Consider the following 21,389-nt stretch of genomic DNA (forward strand, 5'->3'; position numbering starts at 1 on the left):
TCAACACATTCATCATCATCCTTAGTTACCATTTGTGCATGTGTCTATATGGTGAGGGCACTTAAAAATCTTCTGTCATCAAATTTCAGGTAAACAACACAGTATTATTAACTATATTTAATGCTGTACATGAGATCCCCAGAATTTATCCATCTTGTAACTGAAGGTTTATACCCTTTGACCAACTTCTCAACACTTCCTCCAACCCTTCATCCATGGCACCCATGATTCTACTGTCTGCTTCTATGATTTAAACTGTTTTAGATTCTGCATATGATTGAGATGAGATACTCTTTGTCTTTTGGTGTCTGGCTTATTTCGCTTAGCATAATGTCCTCCAAGTTTATCCATGATGTTGCAAATTGCAAAATGTTCTTCTTCTTATGGCTGAACGATATTCTCTTGTTTAGACACACCACATTTTCTTTATTAATTCATCAGTGGACACCGAGGTTGTTATTGTAGGTGTTATTTACACCTATCTTAGTTATTGAAGTAACGCTGTAATGAACATGAGGGTGTAGATACCTCTTTGAGATATTGATTTAAATTCCTTTGGATATATGACCAAAGGTGCAATTCCTTTGGATATATGGCTGGACCATAGGGTACTTATTAATTTACACATTTTTAATTTTTTAAGGAACCTCCATACTGTTCTCTATAATGACTGCACCAATTTCCATTCCCATCGTGCACAAGGCTTCCCTTTTCTCCACAGCCTTTCCAATAGCCAGCTGCTATCTCATCTTTCTGATAATAGCCATCCTAACAGGTATGAGGTGATATCTCATTGTGGTTTTGATTTGCATTTCTCTGATGATTAGTGATGTTGTGCACCTTTTTATATATCTGTTGGCCATTTGTATGTATTCTTTGAAAAAAATGTCTATTCATGTCCTTTGCCCATTATTAAATCTGGTTATTTGTTTTTTGATATTGAGCTGCTTGAATTTATAATATTTTTGGAGACTAATCCCTCATCAAATATACAGTTTGCAAATAATTTTTCCCAATTCATAGGTTGCCTTTTCATTTTGTGGATTTTTTTTTCCTTTGCTGTGCAGAAGCTTTTTAGTTTGGTGTAGTCCTGCTTGTTTGCCTTTGCTTTTGTTGCCTGTGCTTTTAGTGTCATATCCAAATATCATTGCCAAGATCAATGTAAAGGAGCTTTTTCACTGTGCTTTTTCCTAGGAATTTTACATTTTCAGATGTTACATTTAAGTCGTTAGTCTTTTTTGAGTTAATTTTTGTATATGAGGTAAGATAAGGGCCTAATTTCATTATATTGCATGTGTATATTTGGTTCACACAGCATCATTTATTGAAGAGACTATCCTTTCCCCATTTTGCATTCTTGGCACTCTTGTCAAAGATTAGTTGACCATATATGCACAGGTTTATTTTTGTGCTCTCTGTTCTGTTCCATTGGTCAATGTGTCTTGTTTTTATGCCAATACCATACTGTTTTATTACTGTGGCTATGTACTTTTGTAATACAGTTTAAAATCAGGGTATGATGCCTCCAGCTTTGTTCTTTTTGCTCAAGATTACTTTTGGTATTTGGGGGCTTTTTGTGGTTCCATATGAATTTTAGGGTTTTTTTCTGTTTCTGTGAAAAATAGAATTGGAATTTATATAGGAATTAAACTGAATCTGTGGATCACTTTGGGTAGTATGGACATTTTAACAATATTAATTTTTTAATCCATGAACGTGAGATCTCTCTCCATTAATTTGAGTCTTCAATTTCTTTCAACAACATCTTATAGTTTTTGATGTACAGATCTTTTACCTCCTCACATTAACAGAATGAAAGATAAAAATCATATGGTTCTCTCAACATGTGCAGAAAAATTCAATATTCTTTCATAATTAAAAACTCTTAATAGATTATTTGACCAAATTCAACATTCTTTCATGATAACAACTCATAACAAATTAGGTATAGAATGAATTTATCGCAACATAACAAAGGTTCTGACAAGCCCACACCTAATATAATACTCAACATGAAAAGCTGAAAGTTTTTAAGGTTAACAGGAGCAGACTCATAGTCGACAGATGGGAGTCTTCAGCCTGAGTGAGGTCCCACTAGCGGCCTTCCCTTCAGAGACCTCTAAGATCAGGAACCAGACAATGATGTCCATCTCTCACCACTTCTATTCAACATAGTCCCATAAGTCCTAGCCAGAGCAATTAGGCAAGAAAAACAAAAGACATCCGAATTAGGAAGAAATTAAATTGTCTCTGTTTGCAGATGTCATGATCTTTTACATAGAAAACCCTAAGGAAAACCCAAAGAAACTGTTAAAACTAATAAATTCAGTAATCAATTCAGTAAAGTTCGGGATATAAAAATCAACGTACAAAAGTCAGTTGTGTTTTTATACACTAACATTTAACTATCTGAAAAGGAAGTTTAGAAAACAATTCCATTTACAATAGCATCAAAAAGAGTTAAACATTTGGGAATAGATTGTAATCTGGTAGATCTTGGTTAGAGTTTATTGGATTTTAATAGAAATGGCAAGAAACAAGAATATGAAGCAGGAAAGTGCTAAAATCTGATTTATTTTGTGTCTCTGTTTCAGCCTACTTTATTTAAGTATGATCTCTAGTGCCAGGTTGCTAGCCCTATCTCAGTTTCTGACTCATATTTTTGACATCAGCTTTAAAAATGTTCACAAATATATATGCACTTGGTTTTCATTATTTTGCTGTGTCAAATACAGAACAGATTTGTTTTGGGTATTAGAGCCTTTCTCCACTATTCACCACCATCACCCTCTACTCACATCATTGTCTTTCTACAGAAGGCCGCCTTTGACTCCGAGAGACATAACCTCTTCTGCCTCTGTGGTGTCTTTGTGCCTAGTACTTACCACTTCCTTTGCTCTACCTCATCCTATAAGTGTCTTTCCCCTATGGGCTTGGAGTTCTTTGGAGGGAGTCCATTTTCTCATTCATCTAAGTTTTCCCTAGCTTCCAGCTTAGTGCTTTGAACATAGTAGGGGAAAGATGGATATATAGATGAATGGATTACGAATACCCACTAAAATGTTCAGTCTGCTATGAAGCCCTCTTCAACAGTTAGAATTATAATTCTCCCTCTTGCTCCTACAGCGCTTTCCAGTGACTGCTTGGAATCTTTAGTGGCATTGTGTTATGCATTAGTATGTATCTTTAGAGCCCTTTGGGGGTCAAGGACTATGTCATAGTCATCTTTGTTTCCCCAGGATTTAACACAGTTTCTAGCATTTAGCAATCTTCAGTAAGTGCCTGGACAAAAGATGTTAAACAGGACATAAAACTCCAAAAACAGAAGGGCTGTGGAAGTGTATTACCAGACAGAACCCTGGGCTAGATGTGTTTTCTTAAGGCACTTGTAATTCCTCAGAAACTTCCCAAACCAATAGGGAGTTGCAAACCTGCTATGGAGCATCCTCCAGGAAAGCAGCTTTGGAGCTATTTTTCCCGCCAAACTCTTTTGACCATAACACAAAGCCAGAAATTGATTTTGCATTGCAAGCCAGTATATAACTGTTCTGCAAAACAAAAATGCATCTTTACTCTGTAATACAGTCCAATATCTTCTATGCCCTCTGTGGTATAGAATGCTGATCATGACCCTTTAAACTGATTTTAAGACTCGTGAATAGGTTGCAGCCCACAGATTGAGAAAACCCTGTTTTTGAGGACAGAGATAGTCCCCTGAGGTGAGCTTCAGAGGAAGAAGCATGAGCTTTACCTGGAACCCATAATATCTCACTGTACTCTGACTGTTTGTTGAATATTTGTATAAATTTAGCAATGACCAAGCGACAACCAATTAAAACAAGGCATCCTGGCCAAAAAGAATCAAGTTGTGTAGTGGAGACATCTTTGTCATTTAGAATTGAGTTGTTTGAATGCTGAAAAGTTGTTAGAGATAGGTCCACCAGTCACTTAGTTCACCATATCCAAATACAGCATTGTGAATATTTGAGGTAAATGTGTTGCTTCTAAAATGAAACTGTGGGCCCACTGAGATATAGGGAACTTAACGTTTCTTCTGCCAATATGTTGACATAAATATTGATGTTGTTAAGCATGTATGAATAGGAGAACTATTTCAGTCTTTTTATCTCTTTAAAACTAATTTAAATCTGAGCATTAAAAGACTGTTTGATACCATATGTTTGTTTTAGATAGGAAACAAAATCTATTCTAAACATAAGGGCTTATGAAATCTGTATTCTGAACATAAGAGCTTATAAAATTAGTATATAGGACTGGAAGCTATGGTAAATTGTTTCATGGCCACAGATTCCTCCCGTGTTAGTATGCATGGCCCTTTGTAATGTGACCTTGCTGTTCCTCCTGTCCAGAGGGGGGTCTGTTTACCCAACCCTTGCTAAGATATGTTGCTTTTATGCTGTGCTAAGAATCCAACATTTGCTCAGTAATGTCTTTTTATTGTGGAATGTAAGTCCAGCATGAAATTGTTGATTTTTCTCTTTGAAGACCATTTAAAAGCTACTTTTGAAAGTGACCAAGGTCTGTGGACATGAGCATCACAAGCCTTTTGTGAAAATATTAGATAGACTTCAAGAACACAACCAAAGACTGCCACAGACTAGAAAGATACACATCACAAATCCATTTAGCTGTGTACGTGAAAGGAACAAATTAAAAGGTTCAGCAATGTCACTGGCATATCTGAGAATTCAACCTATTTCATTTTGAGACCCACATACCTTATCTGTGAAGGCAACTCTGTGTGTGCGTTTTCCAATCTAGATGGATAGCATAGAATGAGATGACCTAGACAAGCACAGCACAAAGACAGTTGTGATAGCATCCGAACTTTCATGTGTAGCTTATAAGGGCAATTCCTCCTTTTCTATGTAGGCCTTTTTTGAAAATAGCACTGTGCATTGGTTTGCTTACCCTGAGAAGACCTGAAAGATGAGATTATGATCTTTCATCTCAAATTAAAGAAGGCTTGTCTCAGGAACCATTTGACAAGTTCAAACGCTGCTGACTTAGATACTGGCCTCTTATCAGCACCTTCAATTTAATGTTTGGAGTGAGTGGTAGGCCTATGTTGTTGAATTTTTATCATATTTCCCCTCATCTTGGTAGATTATGCTTTAATTCACTATTCTGTGACTTATCAATATTGTCTGTTTTATGCTATTGAGCTATAATAAATAAATAGCGTAATGCAGTACTTACAGGTAGTGAAATTGAGGCAAAATGGGCTTGTGACATAGGCTAGATCAAAAAGGTATTACCTGCAAGTTAATAAGTAGCTCAGATTCTGCTATAATTTGCTTTATTCATAGGTCTTGTGGGGGAAAAAATAAAATAAGCTTTCTCGTTCTGATAATCCCTTAAAAGAGTCATGAAGTTTTGATCTTTGGCTTATTTGATTTATTTTTAATTGATAGAAACCAAGCCATTCCTGTGCCTCTCAAAAATCTATCTGTGGAAAATATTTTAACTTTTAACCAAATTATGTCTTCCCAGTATTAGTGACCCTCTATGTTAAAATGTTTTTCCCTTGAAAGTTAGAACTCCAATGTTGTTAGAAGAGTTTGATTCTCTTTTTGAAGAATCATAGAAACACAGTACAGTTTTGTACCTGTGGCCTTTGGATTTTGATTCACATTGAATTTGATGCCAGGAGTTACATGGAAAAGTCAATAATAATCCGTGGATCATTGCCTTACTCTGACACTGGGTGAATTAGCCTGCTGGGGTAATGTTCTCCAGCTTGTGTAATGGGCCTATCTAGTAGCAAGACAGCAGCCATATGAAACACCTGGGTGGTCTTCCAGAGTACTTTCACATGGATTAGATTTCAGTTATCCAACGTGAGGTCACAAAGGCTTAGACAGCTGGGCTGGTGCCACATCATGAACAGAGTGCGACTTCTTCCTACCGGATGCATAATGTAAAAGGTGCCTGAGGTTAAAGCTGATCCTTGGGCTCCAGGAGCAGATATGGGTCAAATGAGGTCTCAAACCACAGTTGGAAATGTTGGGAAAGTCTCTATACAGGAAAGAATCAGATTTTCCTCTGGCACTTTCATTAGGCATGTTCTCTGCCAGAAAAGCCTAGTTTCTGAGTTTTCTGGATTGAGCTTTATTTGATTAACACTGGTTTAAAGTTTTAGGTGTTATTAAGCAGAAACAGAAGAAAGGGCCTGAGTGGCCCTTTCCTGTTACACAGAAAACAGCATTTGAGGCACATAGGCTTTGGAATAAAATCACCTTTTTAGTGTTCTTAGAGATAACAGTGGCTCCAAAGCCCACCATTTTTTTCCAGTCTTGCCAGGAACTTTGAATGATCCAATAAAAGGTAATGATCAAAGGTTTCAAATGCAACTGATAAATCATATAGATTTGTATTCAGGATGCCTGAAATTGACTTGTGGATGTTTCTCATCTATCAAGAAGGACTTGGTGATTTGAATTTAGTACTTTGATGTTGCAGTAATTGTTTGCAACTGCAGCTCAATGGCCTGAAGGCATTGCTCATTTCTCCCTTTCTCTTCTTGCAAAGAGCTCTTGAAGTATTCTTTTACAGGCTGTTCTCAACTCACTGGGGGCTGTGACCTAAAATTTAGGATAAGAGAATAGTTCCATAAACACTTGGTACAGACCAACAACAATGCCCTAATGAGCCATCCCAAATGTGCACCATTCTGAATCAATCATCCCAAGTCCACACCCTCTTCACTGGATATATATTAAGATTCACTTCATGGTATTTATAAGGGAATTACTAAAGAAATCATGGGGAAAAGATTCCTCTACTTATTATTTTAGTCAAGGTATTTCATATATTTATAAGTTACAAATATCTTTCAAAGTATATTTTAACCAGTTCCTCAATACTTGAAAAAAATGCTATAGATTATCTCCTTTTGGAAGATAATCTATTTCTTCCTGCTATTTCAATTAGATTAAATTAAAACACTCCCAAATTAAGGCTTTCTGGTAATGTTTTCTAACCGTATTCTGTAGTTTCCTCAATCAGTTGTTCCACTAGTCATTTAGTGCATGCCTATATTCTGGCTGAGCAAATGTATCAATATTCATGCAAGGGTGTCCATCTCTAGCATCAAAAGCCACGTGCCCATCTGTCTACTATGAATATCTTAGTCATCATTTTACACCAATATATTATCTTATATATCTTCTGCATCTCAAAATTCTTTTTAAAATTCAGCTCATCCACAGAATCTTTTCAGGTGAACTCAACTATTATCCCTTTAGCTATTCCATGGGTTGCCATAAATCTTATGAATATAGATTAACCTCATAAATATCTAGGATCTAAGACTGTAAAGTATCACAAACTGAAAGATCAACTGTCAGGGCAGTAGATTCCTCTATAAGCCACAGTAATTGACGAGATTGAGTCAGTATCTCTGTGCATCTACTGGGATTGTTTAGCATCGTTGTTGGTGTCACTTTTATGCTCATTTACCATTAAGTTGCAAGGCTGATAACATGTGCTGCATTAGTGTGAATCGTGTTTATTTTAAAATAAATGTTGATGCTGAAGAAAAAAGTGTTAGTTGAGGGGAAACAAACCAGACAGTAGCAACTTATTTACATACTAGACGAGATACCCTTTTCATGACCTCCAAAGTTCTCAGGTCTGGGACATTTCATACTCTAAAGATTACTTAGCTTAAACATCTGTCTTTGCGCCTGTAGCTTTGTTTGGTTCAATTTGGCATGCCTCTGTTGAGTGCCTATTCTGCTAGGGATCCTAAGTGATTGACTAAAGGAAGTGGCTTGCCATCAAACAGCTTACAATGTGGTTCCACCCTGTTCTCCCAGATATCACTTTCTCTCTCACATTCTTGTTTGACAACTTGTTTTATCCCGATTTTAAATGTCCGTATTTATTTATTTACTTGTTGATGATTGGTCTTCCAACAATCCACAGCTCTTCACAAGCAAGGCCTTTGTGTTGTGTGCTGATGTATCCAAAATGCCTGGAAGACCAGCTGGCACATTTTAGGCATTCGGTAAATATTTAATGACTCAAGGGGAGACAAAATACAACTACATACACAAGACAAATAGGGATATAACACACCCTAAAAAGATACAAAAACAGATCCACATTTTGCAATGCTCTAACTACAAAACTTGGGGGGATTGCTATTTAAGAAAAGCAGCAATAATTTTTTAAAAATTATATAGAAATGAATTATTTAGCATGAAAAATAATCGCAATTTATAAATAAAGTTAACATACTAGAGATGACAAAATGTGAGAAATAATATTAATGATATATTAACACATGAAAATATCTCGATATTATACTTTTTTCTCTATAATTTTTGGCCATGTGTTCTTTTTTTGTTGTTGTTTGTTTATTGAGATGAAATCTTGCTCTGTCACCCAGACTGGAGTGCAGTCGTGCTATCTCAGCTTACTGCAACCTCCGCCACCTGAGTTCAAGTGATCCTCCTGCCTCATCCTCCAGAGTAGCTGGGATTACAGGCATGCGTGCGCCACCACGCCCGGCTGATTTTTTTGTACTTTTAGTAGAGACAGGGTTTCACCATGTTGTCCAGGCTGGTCTCGAACTCCTAACCTCAGGTGATCCCCCCCCCTCAGCCTCCCAAAGTGCTGGGATTACAGGCATGAGCCATCACACCTGGCCAGCCATGTGTTCTTTAATCACCTCTCCATATGTAATATCAATTTCTGAGAGATTGAATAAATGGATAATTTGTTATTTGCTCTAGCATGGGTAATCCAAATTGTTTTTGTTTAAATAACATTTGGGACATATAAAGGGCTTCACACATACATACTTGTAACTATGAAACTGCTACAGGTTTGTGTCTTACTAGCGTGGGAATTTTAATTCTGTGCTGCATTTTCAAGTATATTCTATATAAGAGAGAAGTTCCCATTTGTCAAGGTATCGATGAGAACTGAATTATTTGCTTATAATTGTATAGATCTGGTGAGTGAACAAATCTTCCATAGAGTAGCTCTGGCTTTGTGCATTTCAAATTTTGTTTATCTTCCAGTGCCCACATACTTACAGTACTGGTGCAAAAACAGCACAGCCACATCATTACTTCACCTGGCCCTGTACCTTAGTATCATGAAACTGGTTGAACTTGCACAGTGGGTGTTGGGAATATTCTTATATTACTTACCAAGATGACTGGCAATAGATTATATGCAGAATTGTTTGTGAGCCACATAAAAATAGTCCATTATATATATTCTACTATGTATATAAATAATCCACTATATCTATCTATCGGAGTCAGAGATATATCTCATATATATATATATATATATATCTATATATCTATATATATATATATAGTGGGCTATATATATATGAGATATATAAAATATATAATATATATAATGGGCTATATATATGAGATATATCTCTGACTCCACTATATATATATATATATATATGACTATTTTTACATATAGGGGACTATTTATATATATAGTAGAATATATATAATGGCCTATTTTTATGTGGCTCAGAAACAATTCTGCATATAGTTAATTTATTGCCATTCATCTTGGTGAGTAATAGAAACATTTTTCCAACACCCACTGTGCATGTTCAACCAGTTTCATTATACAGAGGTACATATATATTATATATATATAAAAAATATGTAGTATATAGTGGACTATATATACAAAATAAGTATATAGTGGACTATATATATAAAATATGTATATAGTGGGCTATATATATAAATATATGTATATAGTGGGCTATATATATAAATATATGTATATAGTGGGCTATATATATAAAAATATATGTATATAGTGGGCTATATATATAAAAATATATGTATATAGTGGGCTATATATATAAAATATATATAGCAGACTATATAAAAAATATACGTATATAGCAGACTATATATAAAAATATATGTATATAGTGGACTATATATATAAAAATATATGTATATAGCGGACTATATATATAAAAACATATAGCAGACTATATATAAAAAATATATATATAGCAGACTATATATACAAAAAATATATATACACAGCGGACTATATGTACAAAAAATATATATACACAGCGGACTGTATGTACAAAAAATATATATACACAGCGGACTGTATGTACAAAAAGTATATATACACAGCGGACTGTATGTACAAAAAATATATATACACAGCGGACTGTATGTACAAAAAATATATATACACAGCGGACTGTATGTACAAAAAATATATATACACAGCGGACTGTATGTACAAAAAATATATATACACAGCGGACTGTATGTACAAAAAATATATATACACAACGGACTGTATGTACAAAAAACATATATAGTGGACTGTATATGTAAAGAACATATGTAGCGGACTGTATATATAAAGAACATATATAGCGGACTGTATATATAAAAAACATATAGTGGACTGTATATATAAAGAACATATATAGCGGACTGTATATATAAAAAACATATATAGCGGACTGTATATATAAAAAATATATACATATATAGCGGACTGTATACATAAAACAAATATACATATGTAGCGGACTGTATATATAAAACAAATATACATATATAGCGGACTGTATATATAAAACAAATATACATATATAGCGGACTGTATATATAAAACAAATATACATATATAGCGGACTGTATATATAAAACAAATATATATATAGCGGACTATATATAAAAATATGTATATAGTGGACTGTGTATATAAAAATATATATATAGTGGACTATTTGTATAAAATATATATATATAGTGGACTATTTGTATAAAATATATATAGTGGACTATTTGTATAAAATATATATAGTGGACTATTTGTATAAAATATATATAGTGGACTATTTGTATAAAATATATATATAGTGGACTATATGTATAAAATATATATAGTGGACTATATGCATAAAATATATATGGTGGACTATATGCATAAAATATAGTGGACTATATATATAAAATATATAGTGGACTATATATATAAAATATGTATATAGTGTACTATACATATGTAAAATATATACAGTGGACTATATATAAGATATATGTACAGTCGACTATATATATTTTATATATATTTTATATATAGTCGACTGTATAAAATATGTATATAGTGGACTATATATAATGTATATAGTGGACTATATATATATATGATATATCTCTGACTCAGTTTCCCCTTAACTGGAATTCCAAAAATACTCTGGGCCACTTCATTGCCACCCAATGGGAGGAAGAGTAGTATGGATGGAACCTTAGTGATGGAAGAGATTACAGGGTTAACCTATAGCAATTAAAATATTTTACTTATGTAAATTTTACAAAATTATATAATCATGTGATCTTGTTACTAAGGCTCCTCTTGGCATCATGTAAGGGGCTCATGCAAATGAGGACCCCTGAAATTACATTTATTTCCCCACGCAAATCTGCATCTGGGCATTCCAAAGAAATAGAGATTGTTTATAATTATTGGGAGTAGACCTTCAAAGTGGGACAGGATTACAACTGATTGCAGTATTAGAGAATAATCATTTAGAGGTCACATGATCTAGGACATTTTTAGGTGATGGCAGGTGGTCTGTTTGGCATATACACCTGAAAAAGAATGTAGTATAAGATATAATTAGTGGTTGAGGCAAACCCTTGAGGTCCTTGAATGCCAGAACAAGAAATTGGGAGGTTGACGCACACATAATCAAAATCCTTCCTTTCATCTCTGTGATTCAGGAGCTTTTATTTGGATTTATTAATTCAGATATATTTGTTTATTTCAGTTAGTACTTTACTTGTTTTTTTAGAGTGTATGCCTTTCAAAGACCTGGACCTTTGCTTGCACCAAACCTCCTCTGTCGCTTTATCCTTAACCCTTGAGACCTAGTGCATATCTGAGACCTGGCATTAACTAACCTTAAGTAGCATGAGCAAATTTATATTGTAAAGTAGCTTAAAAATTTTGAAAAATTGCAGATTTGTGAATACAACTGGATAAAATGTGAAAACTTTAATAGTTCAACCCACTTCAAGTGGAAGTCATTCGTCTTCAGAGACAAGTATAAGTCCCAATAAAAGTGAGTTAAAAACCCCTTCACATATTTTTGTAGCACTGGCTTTCCAATTTCAGCTGTTTTCCAAATACTAAAAGATGCTTTATCATGCGTGTGCTTATTCATATCCATTGTGTAGTCAGTTGACTATTTTGTGAATTACTTGCATTTGTCCATCATGTGTTGAACAAACATGGTTTTTGCAATCTGAAATGAGAGAAAAATGATATGAAATGTCAGTTGACTTGAACTTCCTTCCTCGTTTTATGGCAATAGTGGGAGTCTCTTTTCTAATGGACTCATATTTAAGATGAAAGTTTTTGACTTAGTTTCCTTAGTGTGGTTTTCGCATCACAGTATCTGAAAGCATGTCCTAGCTGCTGCATTCATCACAGGCCAGGCACCAAACCGGGTCAGGCACTCCTGCGGCGAAAGTGATCTCTTCTCAGTACTTTGCTATAAATTGTGCTGCTATTGATATCATTACCAGTTTTTTTTTTTATGGGTCTCCAGATTTCAGTGTTGTGCAGTTTTTTTGGCATCAGCTGAAAAGCCCTATCTGATGCCCATAAAATCTATACAAAAAGAGAAAATGTAGTTGCCTCCAAAAACAAATGATGTACCACTTTCACTAGTCTTATTTTATTGAGTATTGATGGGAGTAATAGCAATACTGGTAAGGCATGTAAATCATCTGCAAGAAAGACTGTGTACTCTGGGAGAGGAGTTTGGATGCCTTGACTAGTGAGACAAGCATCTTACCAGATATGTCCTTGTGACCATGGGTTGATGTTTTCCTCTCAGGTACTCAGCTTCCACCATACCTTCCTTTTACCTGTATCTTTCTATCAAAGTATTTCTTTCTGATGGACAGTTTATTTTATTTTATTTATTTATTTATTTTTGAGACGGAATCTCGCTTTGTCACCCAGGTTGGAGTGCAGTGGCGTGATCTCAGCTCACTGCAACCTCTGCCTCCCGGATTCAGGTAATTTTCCCTGCCTCAGCTTCTCGGGTAGCTGCAATTACAGGTGTGCACCACCACACCCCACTAATCTTTGTATTTTAGTAGAGATGGGGTTTTGTCATGTTGGCCAGGCTGGTCTCGAACTCCTGACCTCAGGTGATCCGCCTGCCTTGGTTTCCCAAAGTGTTGGGATTACTGGCGTGAGCCACCACACTCAGCCTGCTGACCAGTTTAGATGAAAAGAATTGCTGCTGCATTGAAGAGGTGTTATTCCCCTTACTTCTATGCACTTACCCAGATAGAGAATGTGGCCCTGCCATAGGAAAGTGTCAGGTGAGTAAAACTAGAGTAGAAATAAAGTTCAAAAGATTTGGAAACTTCATTTTTCTGGGCTTCAGTTCTTTTTTTTGTTTGTTGTGTTTGTTTGTTTTTGAGACAGAGTCTCGCTCTGTTACCGAGGCTGGAGTGCAGTGGCACAATCTCGGCTCCCTGCAACCTCTGCCTCCTGGGATCAAGTGATCCTTCTGCCTCAGCCTCCTGAGTAGCTGGGACTACGAGTGCATGCCACCATGCCCAGCTAATTTTTATGTTTTTAGTAGAGATGGGGTTTCACCATATTGGCCAGGCTGGTCTCGAACTCCTGACCTCGTGATCCACCCACCTTGGCCTCCCAAAGTTCTGGGATTATAGGCATAAGCCACCACGCCCGGCTACTTCAGTACTTTTATTGGCTATCTAAATTAGAAAACTATCTTTTTACAGGTCTACACTGGCACTTTGTTGCAGCCCCTCCTCCGTGCTCATTTAGCCAGCAAGAAAAGGGGGAGCAGCTTCTTTGAGGTGACAGTGCTAGAATAATGGTTAGAAGGAAAGTTTCTGACCTATAGTCTTTTTGTACCATATCTCTGAAGGATACACCCATATTTTTTCAAACTCATTCAACAGTTGTTAAAGTTCAAGATAATTGAGAGGTATTGTTCCAGGTGCTGACTAGTTGCAAAGTCTGTTAAGGAAATGTACTACATGAAACCAAGATGCAGCCTATACTGTCTTTCTATGCTATTAATATGGATTACCTGGAAGAATGTGTTTTTTTCTACTTCTTTCTCTCTTCTCTAATTTGCAAGAACTTTAGCCACTTGCAGTTTACTTTCATCATCAATGTAAAAAATTTACCAACTTACATGTATTTTAATTCAGAGCATTTTCTTCTGTTCATATTTATCTTGTTATCCTAAGTGTCAACAGTCGTGGAAGGAGAGTGTGTTTTTTTTTTCTTCAAACTGTCCAACTGTTTTGGTAGCACCAAAGGAATCCCTTAGGGCAAAGGAAAATCGAGACTCTGAAAAGACCAGCCCCCTAAAGAGGAGTCTCTTTGCACATAAACAGGTTATCGTGTTAATCCCAGTTCCCTTCTCCATGCTTTCACCCCACCCATTTCTCTGAGCACTCCTCTGTGACTTTATTAAACAATAAGCATTCTATATTTCTTTCTTTCTGAAAATTCTGAGAGAGTATGAAATCCTGGCTTTTGCGTTATTTTGCATGCGATGCCATTAATAGTTCTTTACTGATTCCTCCTTTTTATTTTCCTCTGTTCACTTCATGTTTGTATCTACCTGCTCATTCTAGAAACCAATATGATTTTCATTATCAGCTTCATATTCATCTTTGTGAATGCCCACCCTATTGAAAATCTAGTCTTTGGTTTCTCACGCATATCAAGACATTTTAGATTAAAAGCAAATAATTCTAACAGTCAGTGGGCTGAAGCCAAGATTTGTATTTTCTCTGAGACAAATCATAGCAGTTGCCAAAACCTCCCTATTGCTCTTCTTCAAGCCAGAAATGAGAATGATTTTAGGTGTCTGTTTTATGCTCCTTCTCATTTGCTTTTTATGTGTAGTCAGTTTCTGAATTCTCCTGTGTCCTCCTCCAGGTTCTCTCTCCATTTCTGCCTGTGACTGCTGACACCCTGTTCACCTTCTCCACGTTGCCCTTCTAGCCTCTCTGTGCGTGAGGTCCTCTAGTTCTTACAGAATGTCTTGTCAGTGCTTTCACCGTGACCTGCCCCCCACCCCGAGAGCTGTCCAGGTGTCAGTCACCCTAGGATGAAATGACACCAATATTGGTGACAAGCTGGCCTTCTGGTTATGCTCAGGAGAATCATTAACCATCTTTAAATAAATAAATCCCTGCTGCTACTCCCCATACAATTTAGAACATGTGCCTTGTAACTTTTGATGTGGGGCTCTTGTTTGAAGCCATTGTTGTTTTCCCTGCTGCCTGCATCATCATATGTTATGTGATTCTTCAGGACCTTGGTTTCAATCTCTATAACTGCCTATCCTTCAAAACCCCCAAACATATTATTAAATGACGTCACCTGTCATTTAAGCCATCTCCATCCCAAACATATCCTCCAAATGAAAATCCACTGAGAGGGAGAGGGAGAGTGTGATTATAACAAAGAGACAGAAACTTATAGAGGTAGCACCTTACATTTTTGTTGGTCTTTATATCTTGCATGATTCATTGGTATACCAATTTCACCCTTTAACTAATGGCTGCCACTTTCAAAATTGTTTTCCTCAAACTGAATTAGACGACCCTCCTCTTGGCTTCCTTAGTGACATTTAAAGGGGACATGGATCAGTACCTGGACCCCATTTAATACCAGCTGCCCCACCATTAAAATAGTGATTACTGGAGAATTAGAAGATGCACCATCATTCATAGACACTTGGGAACTGACTTCACTTTCTCCTATGAGGACGTGGCTTGACTGGTGTTAATTGGCCTAAATTCTGTTAAAACCTGACAAATCTTGCCATCTTCCTAAAGGTCTGTACAGTAAGTGAGTGTGTAAGTTTTTCCTGAATGTGGTATAAGTCCTGAATGTCAGTGGAGAATATTCTAGTGAGAATTATGCTTATCCTGATATGGCAAGATCCTATCTGGTGAGGACATAGTCACCAGCAGCTACATACCCAATCAGGGACTCTTCTATTCCTGCATCTAGTAGCTTTCTCTTTGGCTTCCATTCAGTTTCAAGTATCAACTAAATAAAATGGGGACTTGATCTAGCCTCTGGTGTATGTTTTCATTGGTGTGTGTTCTCCAATAAGCCACGTATAACCTACTTGAACACTTTAGTGGTACCTGCCTTTTTGTGTGCTGGGGTGTACTGAAATGTTCCTCATTTCCACATTTCCTTTTCTGAAAGATAACTTGAGAGTGGATGAACACCATGACTGCTGATCTTAATATCCTCATCCCTTCTCCCTGTCCTGATGCATAAGGGCAACCTCAAATATTTAACTGTGTGAAAAAAAAAAAAACCCAGCAAGCAGTTCTATAAGAATTTATGCTTTAAAATACTGAACAATTCCTATTTTATTTGTGCTTTGCTTCCAGTGGCTTTTAAACTATGATTCTAAGGAACATTGTTGTTCCTTGAGCTGAATCTGGGGTTTTTGCCTCTAAATTCCAATAATAAGTCTTTTCTTAATTAGCTGAAAAAAAACTAATGAATAGCAAAATTTTCCCATTTTTGAACTCCCTTCTCACCTCATCTTTATTTGTGTAAAAGTTTTGATTCGTATTGTAAGGTTATATTTGTTTTAGTGCAAGGTTAGATTTTATTATTTTAATTTACAAATTATTCCATGAAAATTAACTTGACTTTCAAGAGCCTGGCTTTTTAAGCAGACGAGATAACACAGCTCACAATAAATAACAAGTGCTATTACCTACTTTTTTGGGGGAGGGAGTCCTGTATGAAAATTACATACCAGACAGTTCCATGTCCTATGCATGCCTTAATTTATTTCAGCCTCCCATCAGTTCTGTTATGTGCTATGTTCACCAAGTTTTAAGTGATGAGACTGAGTCACAGAGCAGTGCAAGTTCAATGCCACAGAGCAAACAAAGGCTCAATCTGTTTGACTCCAAAACCCAGGGTCCTCTCCACTGTCCTGACACATGACAGTTAGCAGTGTTAGTGTCTAATTGTTACTGTTAGATTTATAAGCTTCTTCACTGTAGAGGTTATGTTTCCTTTACTCCCTAACACTGGAAGCCTCTATGAAACTGGATAGAGTTGTCCCCTCTCATTTCAGTTAGCTTTCCTTGTACAATATGACTTCTACTCTACCATATATTCAAGGTTTTGCCCAAATTATCTTCAGTACTCCTAATTACCTGCCCTCTGTTGTGCATTAGGACTTACCTTTCTTTGTCTTTTTTTTAAATTTTTTATTTATTATTATTATACTTTAAGTTTTAGGGTACATGTGCACAATGTGCAGGTTAGTTATGTATGTATACATGTGCCATGCTGGAGTGCTGCACCCACCAACTCGTCATCTAGCATTAGGTATATCTCCCAATGCTATCCCTCCCCCCTCCCCCCAACCCACCACAGTCCCCAGAGTGTGATGTTCCCCTTCCTGTGTCCATGTGTTCTCATTGTTCAATTCCCACCTATGAGTGAGAATATGCAGTGTTTGGTTTTTTGTTCTTGAGATAGTTTACTGAGAATGATGATTTCCAATTTGATCCATGTCCCTACAAAGGACATGAACTCATCATTTTTATGGCTGCATAGTATTCCATGGTGTATACGTGCCACATTTTCTTAATCCAGTCTATCATTGTTGGACATTTGGGTTGGTTCCAAGTCTTTGCTATTGTGAATAATGCCGCAATAAACATACGTGTGCATGTGTCTTTATAGCAGCATGATTTATAGTCCTTTGGGTATATACCCAGTAATGGGATGGCTGGGTCAAATGGTATTTCTAGTTCTAGATCCCTGAGGAATCGCCACACTGACTTCCACAATGGTTGAACTAGTTTACAGTCCCACCAACAGTGTCAAAGTGTTCCTATTTCTCCACATCCTCTCCAGCACCTGTTGTTTCCTGACTTTTTAATGATTGCCATTCTAACTGGTGTGAGATGGTATCTCATTGTGGTTTTGATTTGCATTTCTCTGATGGCCAGTGATGGTGAGCATTTCTTCATGTGTTTTTTGGCTGCATAAATGTCTTCTTTTGAGAAGTGTCTGTTCATGTCCTTCGCCCACTTTTTGATGGGGTTGTTTTTTTCTTGTAAATTTGTTTGAGTTCATCATAGAGTCTGGATATTAGCCCTTTGTCAGATGAGTAGGTTGCGAAAATTTTCTCCCATTTTGTAGGTTGCCTGTTCACTCTGATGGTAGTTTCTTTTGCTGTGCAGAAGCTCTTTAGTTTAATTAGATCCCATTTCTCAGTTTAAGGTGGAACTCAGTCTCTTCCTGACAGCCACCTTCAAATAGGGTTTAGTAGTTTAGAAAAACATTCTAGGAAGGGTTGTTTAAAAGTCTGAGATAACAGTTCATATTTAAAGATGCTCATTATTAATTTCAATGTGGAATGATTTGCACTTGTTATTAACACATTTAGAGAGAAAGAAAAATTAGAAGATACTCAACAGGAGACATTCAGGTGTGGAGTACAGAAAAGCCGAGAAGAAGAAAGTTATTCCTGATATGTTTAAGAAAGATCTAGCCATCTTAAAGTTTTTTTTTTTTTTTTATGTTTCAAATAGCTGATACACTGGTACAAAACTGAATTGTCATCTTCTAGGATACACTATAATACTATGGCATATTGATTGAATACACAAACCTGAATACTTATCATTATTATTACTATTATTATTACTATTATTTTGAGACAGAGTCTCACTCTGTCTCTTAGGCTGGAGTGCAGTGGCGCTATCTGGGCTCACTGCAACCTCCGCCTCCCGGGTTCAAGTGATTCTCCTGCTTCAGCCTCCGAGTAGCTGGGATTACAGTTGCGTACCACCATGCCTGGCTAATTTTTGTATTTTCAGTAGAGACAGGGTTTCACCATGTTGGCCAGACTGGTCTCGAACTCCTGACCTCCAGTGATCCACTTGCCTCGGCCTCCCAAAGTGCTGGGATTATAGGCGTGAGCCACTGCGTCTGGCATGAATGCATATTATTATAAAATTATATCTTAAATATTTTAGTGTGTTATTATTTAAAAAGCAGATACTGATAGTGAATGAGGACTCATAGGCATGTGTCTTTAAATTTGAAGAAAAATTACCTACTGTGGCTTTTTTAAAGAAAATGTATTTATTACCTAAGAAAAACCATGTCTCTCTCTCTCTCTCACACACGCACACATACACTCTCTCTCTCCATATATACACACACACACACACATACATATATATACATATACATATATAAACATATATATATGACTCAGCTGCATAAAACAATGTAACTAAATTGTTGATCGCTAAAATGTTCACTTCTGTGCCTCTAAATCAAGTTGATTTTGACAATGAGGAAATGCCTTGGTGAACCATGTTGGTTTTACTTTTTGTTTATTTTCTCCCATTCAAGATTATCAACTTGTAATTTACTGGCCTGATTAAATGCTTGGAAATAAACCAGAGTTCTTGAATTTTGCCCCATTTTCTTAATTTTAAAGATAATGAGTTCCTTTGAGGATATTGCATTTAGACTGACTTGTTCATTTCATGTTGCTGGTAATTGAGGGGCTTAATCTGAAAGGAACTTAGTCTTCAGATTACCTAAGGGACAGAAAAAGATACTGGTATGGGACTGGGATCCTACTTTCTTAAAATTTTATGGTACTTTTTCTTGCTTCTACTCTTCTTGTTTTTTTTTTTTAAAAATGTTTTATTTCAAAGAACAATTGCCAACCGTACAATTATTGGTATGTCAGTTGGTTAAGAAATGTTTGGGATGGAGGTGGAGGGATGGTGAAAAATGTAGTGATGTCTCTTAATAAAAAGGAAATAAAGGAATGTGAAGTTGGACTTTATAATTCCTTTTGGCATAGGTTTGTGTCCTAAGTAGCATGTTAATTTCTTATCATGAAAGAAGTTTTTTTTTTTTTTTTTAAGAAAAGGAAGTTCTATCTGGACAAAGATAAAAAAATATTTGCAATTCTATGTTTTGTACAAACTAAGAATGTTAAAGCACACATAAAAACCAGGTTTGTAAATAACCTACAAAGTGGATGAAAAATGTTCCTTTAAGCTGGAATCGCTTCAGAGGTTTGGGGAATCATTTTCAGAATATTGAGAAATGAGAAAATGCATTTCAACTGTTTTCTACTCTTTTCCCAAAAGTACAAAAATAAAACGCTAATTTTTATATGAGAGTGATTTTAAAACCACAAGCAGATTTTTTTTGAGATGTTTCTCTGTAGTGGCCAACTTTGTATGAAGCAAATTATTTTAGGCCTAATTGCAGTCAGAGCGGTTAGGCCGCTGGCTCTGCTAAGGTTGAATTTCATTTGAACTTTCTAATAGTATGATCTTTTTTCAGAATTTAATAACTGACTCAAATATTTAATAGTGGAAGCTTTCATTAAATTAAAAAGAAATCAGGATATATTTTTAGAAGAACTAACTTATTTTCTTTATCAGTTCTATCTACTTTAGGAGAAGAGGAAGAGAATGGAAGCAATCTCTTTGTGTACTTAAATAGGCATTAATGTTGTAACCCCAGCAAATAATTTATTTTGGTCTATATCATCATTCAAAAGATTTGGAAAGCACCAAATGGCAGTAATAACTATACTTCCAGCTCTGTTGAATGGCAAATTACACTGACTGTGTGAATCCCTTCATTCGTCTCCTGGATAATCATTCTTTTTAATACTCACATATATTTTCTAGATCAGTTTTTAGATTGTACACAGTCAACTTGTGCATTGCCTAACAGTTTCTGTTAAACACAATGGCTTGTTTTGAAATGCAACTGGGGAAAGATGAGAGTTGAAAGATTTTGTTTCCATGTGTCAACCTATAAATAGATGACAAAAGATCATTAAATGGATTAATTTACAAGCATCCTTAGAAATAGAATGTTTTTACATAAAAGCCTGTTGTAAACCTTTTAAATTAAAGTGCATTGTGTCATGCACTCTCTTCACCCCAGGGTTCTTTTGACCTCTCACCTCTCACTTTGTCTTCCAGGCACTCCACTGCTGGTGAGGAGAAGCAGTGACCCAGTGCCAGGCCCACCTGCTGATACCCAGCCAAGCGCTTCACACCCTGGTGGCCAGAGTCTGAAACTGGTTGTTCCAGTAGGTATCCTGCTGCTTGTAGTTCTAATGAAAGATCAAAGTGCTGTACCCATAGGTTAAGTGGGACTTTGCAGTTTTAAACACATTGATAACTAGATAGAGATCTTTTGATAGTATATATAGTATTAGTTATACTAATAGCTAGTATGGGCTATTACTTGTATATAGTTATAGCGATAGCTAT

At 36.0% G+C, this 21,389-nt stretch overlaps 1 protein-coding gene across 16 annotated transcripts in view, besides 1 other annotated feature; it reads left to right on the forward strand.

Annotated features, from left to right (window-relative positions):
* The window catches only part of PARD3B (par-3 family cell polarity regulator beta), a 1,074,688-nt gene that overhangs the window by 481,011 nt on the left and 572,288 nt on the right, over nt 1–21,389 (forward strand). For all 16 annotated transcript variants that reach the window (XM_047443208.1, NM_001302769.2, NM_205863.4 and 13 more), the window contains one exon: nt 21,096–21,205. In XM_047443208.1, the coding sequence (XP_047299164.1) occupies nt 21,096–21,205 (110 nt within the window). The remainder of the gene's footprint in view (nt 1–21,095; nt 21,206–21,389) is intronic.
* Nucleotides 6,269–6,772: an enhancer, noted in NCBI's record as "NANOG hESC enhancer chr2:205897477-205897980 (GRCh37/hg19 assembly coordinates)". NCBI's record gives its function as "activates a minimal SCP1, AML or CMV promoter by ChIP-STARR-seq in naive H9 embryonic stem cells {active_cell/tissue: H9 hESC(naive)}" and the evidence as "EXISTENCE:reporter gene assay evidence [ECO:0000049][PMID:30033119]".

The sequence above is a fragment of the Homo sapiens genome, chromosome 2 (genome assembly GCF_000001405.40).
Source record: "Homo sapiens chromosome 2, GRCh38.p14 Primary Assembly".
NCBI classification, from domain to species: Eukaryota; Metazoa; Chordata; class Mammalia; order Primates; family Hominidae; genus Homo; species Homo sapiens.